Source organism: Homo sapiens, chromosome 8 (genome assembly GCF_000001405.40).
Source record: "Homo sapiens chromosome 8, GRCh38.p14 Primary Assembly".
Lineage (NCBI taxonomy): Eukaryota > Metazoa > Chordata > Mammalia > Primates > Hominidae > Homo > Homo sapiens.
Genome location: NC_000008.11, coordinates 89,215,364 through 89,224,291, shown reverse-complemented (window position 1 = coordinate 89,224,291; position 8,928 = coordinate 89,215,364). Strand labels below are relative to the sequence as shown.

Genomic DNA, 8,928 nt, shown 5'->3' with positions numbered 1-8,928 from the left:
GTGCCATGCTGGTGTGCTGCATCCATTAACTCATCATTAAGCATTAGGTATATCTCCTAATGCTATCCCACCTCCCTCCCCCAACTCCACAACAGTCCCCAGAGTGTGATGTTCCCCTTCCTGTGTCCACGTGTTCTCCTTGTTCAATTCCCACCTATGAGTGAGAACATGCAGTGGTTGGTTTTTTGTCCTTGGTGATAGTTTACTGAGAATGATGATTTCCAATTTCATCCATGTCCCTACAAAGGACATGAACTCATCATTTTTTATGGCTGCATAGTGTTCCATGATGTATATGTGCCACATTTTCTTAATCCAGTCTATCATTGTTGGACATTTGGGTTGGTTCCAAGTCTTTGCTATTGTGAATAGTGCCGCAATAAACATACGTGTGCATGTGTCTTTATAGCAGCATGATTTATAGCCCTTTGGGTATATACCCAGTAATGGGATGGCTGGGTCAAATGGTATTTCTAGTTCTAGATCCTTGAGGAATCGCCACACTGACTTCCACAATGGTTGAACTAGTTTACAGTACCAACAACAGTGTAAAAGTGTTCCTATTTCTCCACATCCTCTCCAGCAGCTGTTGTTTCCTGACTTTTTAACAATTGCCATTCTAACTGGTGTGAGATGGTATCTCATTGTGGTTTTGATTTGCATTTCTCTGATGGCCAGTGATGGTGAGCATTTTTTCATGTGTTTTTTTTGGCTGCATAAATGTCTTCTTTTGAGAAGTGTCTGTTCATGTCCTTCACCCACTTTTTGATGGGTTTTGTTTTTTTCTTGTAAATTTGTTTGAGTTCATTGTAGATTCTGGATATTAGCCCTTTGTCAGATGAGTAGGTTGCGAAAATTTTCTCCCATTTTGTAGGTTGCCTGTCCACTCTGATGGTAGTTTCTTTTGCTGTACAGAAGCTTTTTAGTTTAATTAGATCCCATTTGTCAATTTTGGCTTTTGTTGCCATTGCTTTTGGTGTTTTAGACACGAAGTCCTTGCCCACGCCTATGTCCTGAATGGTAATGCCTAGGTTTTCTTCTAGGGTTTTTATGGTTTTAGGTCTAACGTTTAAGACTTTAATCCATTTTGAATTAATTTTTGTATACGGTGTAAGGAAGGGATCCAGTTTCAGCTTTCTACCTATGGCTAGCCAGTTTTCCCAGCACCATTTATTAAATAGGGAATCCTTTCCCCATTGCTTGTTTTTCTCAGGTTTGTCAAGGATCGGATAGTTGTACATATGCAGCATTATTTCTGAGGGCTCTGTTCTGTTGGTACCAGTACCATGCTGTTTTGGTTACTGTAGCCTTGTAGTATAGTTTGAAGTCAGGTAGCATGATGCCTCCAGCTTTGTTCTTTTGGCTTAGGATTGACTTGGTGATGTGGGCTCTGTTTTGGTTCCATATGAACTTTAAAGTAGTTTTTTCCAATTCTGTGAAGAAAGTCTTAGGTAGCTTGATGGGGATGGCATTGAATCTATAAATTACCTTGGGCAGTATGGCCATTTTCACGATATTGATTCTTCCTACCCATGAGCATGGAATGTTCTTCCATTTGTTTGTGTCCTCTTTTATTTCATTGAGGAGTGGTTTGTAGTTCTCCTTGAAGAGGTCCTTCACATCCCTTGTAAGTTGGATTCCTAGGTATTTTATTCTCTTTGAAGCAATTGTGAATGGGAGTTCACTCATGATTTGGCTCTCTGTTTGTCTGTTATTGGTGTATAAGAATGCTTGTTATTTTTGTACATTGATTTTGTATCCTGAGACTTTGCTGAAGTTGCTTATCAGCTTAAGGAGATTTTGGGCTGAGACAGTGGGGTTTTCTAAATATACAATCATGTCATCTGCAAACAGGGACAATTTGACTTCCTCTTTTCCTAATTGAATACCCTTTATTTCTTTCTCCTGCCTAATTGCCCTGGCCAGAACTTCCAACACTATGTTGAACAGGAGTGGTGAGAGAGGGCATCCCTGTTTTGTGCCAGTTTTCAAACAGAATGCTTCCAGTTTTTGCCCATTCAGTATGATATTGGCTGTGGGTTTGTCATAGATAGCTCTTATTATTTTGAGATACATCCCATCAATACCTAATTTATTGAGAGTTTTTAGCATGAAGGGTTGTTGAATTTTGTCAAAGGCCTTTTCTGCATCTATTGAGATAATCATGTGGTTTTTGTCTTTGGTTCTGTTTATATGCTGGATTACATTTATTGATTTGCATATATTGAACCAGCCTTGCATCCCAGGGATGAAGCCCACTTGATCATGGTGGATAAGCTTTTTGATGTGCTGCTGGATTCGTTTTGCCAATATTTTATTGAGGATTTTTGCATCAATGTTCATCAAGGATATTGGTCTAAAATTCTCTTTTTTGGTTGTGTCTCTGCCCAGCTTTGGTATCAGGATGATGCTGGCCTCATAAAATGAGTTAGGGAGGATTCCCTCTTTTTCTATTGATTGGAATAGTTTCAGAAGGAATGGTACCAGTTCCTCCTTATACCTCTGGTAGGATTCGGCTGTGAATCCATCTGGTCCTGGGCTCTTTTTGGTTGGTAAGCTATTGATTATTGCCACAATTTCAGAGCCTGTTATTGGTCTATTCAGAGATTCAACTTCTTCCTGGTTTAGTCTTGGGAGGGTGTATGTGTTCAGGAATTTATCCATTTCTTCTAGATTTTCTAGTTTATTTCTGTAGAGGTGTTTATAGTATTCTCTGATGGTAGTTTGTATTTCTATGGGATCGATGGTGGTATCCCCTTTATCATTTTTTATTACATCTATTTGATTCTTCTCTCTTTTCTTCTTTATTAATCTTGCTAGCAGTCTATAAATTTTGTTGATCCTTTCCAAAAACCAGCTCCTGGATTCATTAATTTTTTGAAGGGTTTTTTGTGTCTGTATTTCCTTCAGTTCTGCTCTGATTTTAGTTATTTCTTGCCTTCTGCTAGCTTTTGAATGTGTTTGCTCTTGCTTTTCTAGTTCTTTTAAGTGTGATGTTAGGATGTCAATTTTGGATCTTTCCTGCTTTCTCTTGTGGGCATTTAGTGCTATAAATTTCCCTCTACACACTGCTTTGAATGTGTTCCAGAGATTCTGCTATGTTGTGTCTTTGTTCTCATTGGTTTCAAAGAACATCTTTATTTCTGCCTTCATTTCGTTATGTACCCAGTAGTCATTCAGGAGCAGGTTGTTCAGTTTCCATGTAGTTGAGCGGTTTTGAGTGAGTTTCTTAATCTTGAGTTCTAGTTTGATTGCACTGTGGTCTGAGAGACAGTTTGTTATAATTTCTGTTCATTTACATTTGCTGAGGAGAGCTTTACTTCCAAGTATGTGGTCAGTTTTGGAATAGGTGTGGTGTGGTGCTGAAAAAAATGTATATTCTGTTGATTTGGGGTGGAGAGTTCTGTAGATGTCTATTAGGTCCGCTTGATGCAGAGCTGAGTTCAATTCCTCGGTGGCCTTGTTAACTTTCTGTCTCATTGATCTGTCTAATGTTGACAGTGGGGTGTTAAAGTCTCCCATTATTATTGTGTGGGAGTCTAAGTCTCTTTGTATGTCACTCAGGACTTGCTGTATGAATCTGGGTGCTCCTGTATTGGGTGCATATATATTTAGGATAGTTAGCTCTTCTTGTTGAATTGATCCCTTTACCATTATGTAATGGCCTTCTTTGTCTCTTTTGATCTTTGTTGGTTTAAAATCTGTTTTATGAGAGACTAGGATTGCAAGCGCTGCCTTTTTTGTTTTCCATTTGCTTGGTAGATCTTCTTCCATCCTTTTATTTTGAGCCTATGTGTGTCTCTGCACGTGAGATGGGTTTCCTGAATACAGCACACTGATGGGTCTTCACTCTTTATCCAATTTGCCAGTTTTTGTCTTTTAATTGGAGCATTTAGTCCATTTACATTTAAGTTAATATTGTTATGTGTGAATTTGATCTAGTCCATTTACATTTAAAGTTAATATTGTTATGTGTGAATTTGATCCTGTCATTATGATGTTAGCTGGTTATTTTGCTTGTTAGTTGATGCAGTTTCTTCCTAGCCTTGAGGGTCTTTACAATTTGGCATGTTTTCGCAGTGGCTGGTACAGGTTTTTCCTTTCCATGTTTAGTACTTCCTTCAGGAGCTCTTTTAGGGGAGGCCTGGTGGTGACAAAATCTCTCAGCATTTGCTTGTCTGTAAAGTATTTTATTTCTCCTTCACTTGTGAAGCTTAGTTTGGCTGGATATGAAATTCTGAGTTGAAAATACTTTTCTTTAAGAATGTTGAATATTGGCCCCCACTCTCTTCTGACTTGTAGAGTTTCTGCCGAGATTTCGGCTGTTAGTCTGATGGGCTTCCCTTTGTGGGTGACCAGACCTTTCTCTCTGGCTGCCCTTAACATTTTTTCCTTCATTTCAACTTTGGTGAATCTGAACAATTATGTGTTTTGGAGTTGCTCTTCTCGAGGAGTATCTTTGTGGAGTTCTCTGTATTTCGTGAATCTGAATGTTGGCCTGCCTTGCTAGAATGGGGAAGTTCTCCTGGATAATATCCTGCAGAGTGTTTTCCAATTTGATTCCATTCTCCCCATCACTTTCAGGTATACCAATCAGACATAGATTTGGTCTTTTCACATAGTCCCATATTTCTTGGAGGCTTTGTTCATTTCTTTTTATTCTTTTTTTCTCTAAACTTCCCTTCTCGCTTCATTTCATTCATTTCGTCTTCCATCACTGATACCCTTTCTTCCAGTTGATCGCATCAGCTCCTGAGGCTTCTGCATTCTTCACGTAGTTCTTGAGCCTTGGTTTCAGCTCCATCAGCTTCTTTAAGCACTTCTCTGTATTGGTTACTCTAGTTATACATTCATCAAAATTTTTTTCAAAGTTTTCAACTTCTTTGCCTTTGGTTTGAATTTCCTCCTGTAGCTCGGAGTAATTTGATCATCTGAAGCCTTCTTCTCTCAACTCATCAAAGTCATTCTCCATCCAGCTTTGTTCCGTTGCTGGTGAGGAACTGCATTCCTTTGGAGGAGGAGAGGCGCTCTGCTTTTTAGAGTTTCCAGTTTTTCTATTCTGTTTTTTCCCCATCTTTGTGGTTTTATCTACTTTTGGTCTTTGATGATAGTGATGTACAGATGGGTTTTTGGTGTGGATGTCCTTTCTGTTTGTTAGTTTTCCTTCTAACAGACAGGACCCTCAACCGCAGGTCTGTTGGAGTTTGCTAGAGGTCCACTCCAGACACTGTTTGCCTGGGTATCAGCAGTGGTGGCTGCAGAACAGCGGATTTTCATGAACCACGAATGCTGCTGTCTGATCATTCATCTGGAAGTTTTGTCTCAGAGGAGTACCTGGCCCTATGAGGTGTCAGTCTGCCCCTACTTGGGGGTGCCTCCCAGTTAGGCTGCTCGGGGTTCAGGGGTCAGGGACCCACTTGAGGAGGCAGTCTGCCTGTTCTCAGATCTCCAGCTGCGTGCTGGGAGAACCACTGCTCTCTTCAAATCTGTCAGACAGGGACATTTAAGTCTGCAGAGGTTACTGCTGTCTTTTTGTTTGTCTGTGCCCTGCCCCCAGTGGTGGAGCCTACAGAGGCAGGCAGGCCTCCTTGAGCTGTGGTGGGCTCCACCCAGTTTGAGCTTCCTGGCTGCTTTGTTTACCTAAGCAAGCCTGGGCAATGGCGGGCGCCCCTCCCCCAGCCCCGCTGCCACCTTGCAGTTTGATCTCAGACTGGTGTGTTAGCAATCAGTGAGACTCCATGGGCCTAGGACCCTCCAGGCCATGTGAGGGATATAATCTCCTGGTGCGCTGTTTTTTAAGCCCACCGGAAAAGCGCAGTATTAGGGTGGGGGTGACCTGATTTTCCAGGTGCCGTCTGTCACCCCTTTCTTTGACTAAGAAAGGGAACTCCCTGACCCCTTGCACTTCCCGAGTGAGGCAGTGCCTTGCCCTGCTTTGGCTTGCACACGGTGCGCTGCACCCACTGACCTGTGCCCACTGTCTGGCACTCCCTAGTGAGATGAACCTGGTAACTCAGATGGAAATGCAGAAATCACCCGTCTTCTGTGTCGCTCACGCTGGGAGCTGTAGACCAGAACTGTTCCTATTCGGCCATCTTGGCTGCCAGACAGTAACATCCCTTTTCTTAAGTAAATGATCCTGCTTTGATATCCAGTCTCCCTCCTGCTATCATTCCTTCAGAATAAAACTTCTTAAAAGAGTTTTTGTAGTCACTGTGTCTACTTAGTCTCCTCCTGGTCTCTCCTCAGCCCACTCTACTCTGGTTTCTGCCCTGTTATACCACTGAGACTGTTCCTGTAAAGGTCAACAGGGACACCCATGCTGCTAAATCCAGGGTCACTTACTTATCTGACCTCCACCCCATCACCATATGACTTAATTAACCAGCTCCTCCTTGAAAGAATTTCTTCTCATCTTGTCTTTCATGATCTAGCCTTTTTTCCCAGGCTCTGATTTCTCTTGCCTGTTTAACCTTTATTCTATGATCTCTTCTCCTTTTCATATACATTATACGAAAATCTTGAGAGATTTAGTATATGTAATCTCTCAAGGTTTGACAATCTCTCAGTAGGTAGACAAATTTATTTCTATATCTTTCAATCTCTTTATATGTACTTACGATTCCCAAATCTATATTTTCATTTATAGTATTTTTCTGGTCATTATATTAATATCCAACTTCCTACTGGACATTTCCACATGGATGTCTTACAGGAATCTGAGAATAACCATAGCCAAAAAAAAAAACACTCTTGATCCCTACTTCCCTACACTAATCCACTACCTTTATTCTTTCCTATACCAAAAAAAGTCCCTTAATTCATCCATTAGCTCAAGCAAATAATTTAAAAGTTAACCTCAATTCCTCTATTCAGCCTGTTCTCCATATCAGAACAAATAAGTTTGACTCTATCTTCAAAACATATCCTCCTGTTTTTTCCATTGTTTTTTTAGTTTCATCCAAGACATAATTATATTTTATTTCAACTAAAATAATAGTTCTCTTTGGTCTTCTTGCTTCTACACTTTCACTAATATAATCCACTCTTCACACAGTAACCTGAGTCACTTTTTATTTATTTATTTTTGTTGAGATGGAGTCTCACTCTGTCACCCAGGCTAGAGTGCAGTGATGCAATCTTGGCTCACTGCAACCTCTGCCTTCCAGGTTCAAGCAATTCTCCCACTCCAACCCCTGGATTAGCTGGGATGACAGGCACCCGCCATCAGGCATGGCCAATTTTTGTATTTTTAGTAGAGATGGGGTTTCACTGTGTTGTTCAGAGTGGTCTCGAACTCTTGACCTCAGGTGATCCGTCTGCTTCAGCCTCCTAAACTGCTGGGATTACAGGCCTGAGTCACCACATGACTTTTTTATAATTAATCTACTTTTCAAAAAATCTGACTAAAGAGAATACCAGAGAGAAAATTTAAATTTCTCTCATTTAACTTTCCAGAAAATCAAGTCATTTAGGCATCTGTCCCCACCCTCTTCTGCTGTCAAATCCCATGGTTTGTCCCTAGACATCACTATTTTGCCAGAGCCATGGCATTTGACATCCTTAATCTTTCCTTCTTAAATCTTTTCCTCTTTAAAGTGCCAGGGGGCACTTCCTGCCTGCCACAATTGTAGGCAAGCCAATTGCCAGAGAAAACCCTGAAGCTGAGTCACAGGTACTGACAGTTGGAAGTTGGACAAATGCAAGTAAAATGATAGATGATGAGAGGATGTGGTAAGCCATCAACAATGGCTGCCACAACTGCTGTATATTCAGGTTGGTTCTTTTCAGTGAACTCAACCATCTGTCCAACATCTTACACATCTAACAGGCACATTATACTAGCACCCTAAAAACAAAACAGCTGATTCCTATTTCTCCAAACTTGTTCTCCCTTAAAATTCCCCCATTTCTGTCATTTGAAATTTCATTCTTCAAGTTGCTCAGTTATAAACTTTGAATTCATCCTTAATACTCTCCTTTCTTTCTTTCTTTCATACTGCACTTCTAGATCGTCAGCTCACCAAGACTGTTTCTCAACACTTCCACTGCCACCATGCTTTCTCACAGGGATTATTACATTTGCCTTCTAACAGGTCTTCTGTTTCCATCCTTGCAGTTGCCCTTGCAATCTTTTATGTATATACCAACCAAAGTGATATTTTAAATTTAAAGCATACTATACCAAATTTTCTAATTATGACCTATAATGTTCTAAATAATTTTACCCCCAGTCTCCAGTCTGACCTCATATTTGACCACAATCCTTTTTGCTCACTCCACTCCAGCCACACTAACCTCCTAGCGTTTCCTTAAATATATCAACTGTGTTCTTAGGGTTTAACATTGTTGTTCATTCTTTTTATATTACTTTTACACCAGGTGGACTGTACAACCAGCTTGTTCACTTATACTCTTCAGGTCTCTGTGTCAATTTCATATTATCAGAGAGGCTTACTAATGTTGCACCCCATGCATTATCATTTTTTCTCTTATTGACTTGGTACCCTCTTCATTGCTTTTCTCACCACTTGACATTATATATATATATATATATATATATATATATATATATATATATATATATATATTTATATACGCCTATGTCTATGTCTATATCGCTAACCCTATATCTGTGTGTACATCTATATTTATGCCTCTACCTATGTCTATGTCTTTATATGTCTAAGTCTATCTATATGTCTATCTATAAGAACAGAGAGGCTTTTCCGTTTTTTTCATTGCTGCCTCCCTAGACCTAGAAAAATTCCTGGCATTGATGAATTCTGAAACAGGAAAAAAACCATGTTAGGACAAAAGGAACTATTTTCTAACACTGTAAATAATGTATTTGCCATTTGTGGCTTTTCCAGATAATTTATTCTGACCTGAAATTAGAATGGATGAGTGGAAGATATATAAAGAAAA

General features: G+C 40.0%; 1 annotated feature.

Annotated features, from left to right (window-relative positions):
• Positions 5,821 to 6,322: an enhancer, noted in NCBI's record as "H3K27ac hESC enhancer chr8:90230199-90230700 (GRCh37/hg19 assembly coordinates)". NCBI's record gives its function as "activates a minimal SCP1, AML or CMV promoter by ChIP-STARR-seq in naive H9 embryonic stem cells {active_cell/tissue: H9 hESC(naive)}" and the evidence as "EXISTENCE:reporter gene assay evidence [ECO:0000049][PMID:30033119]".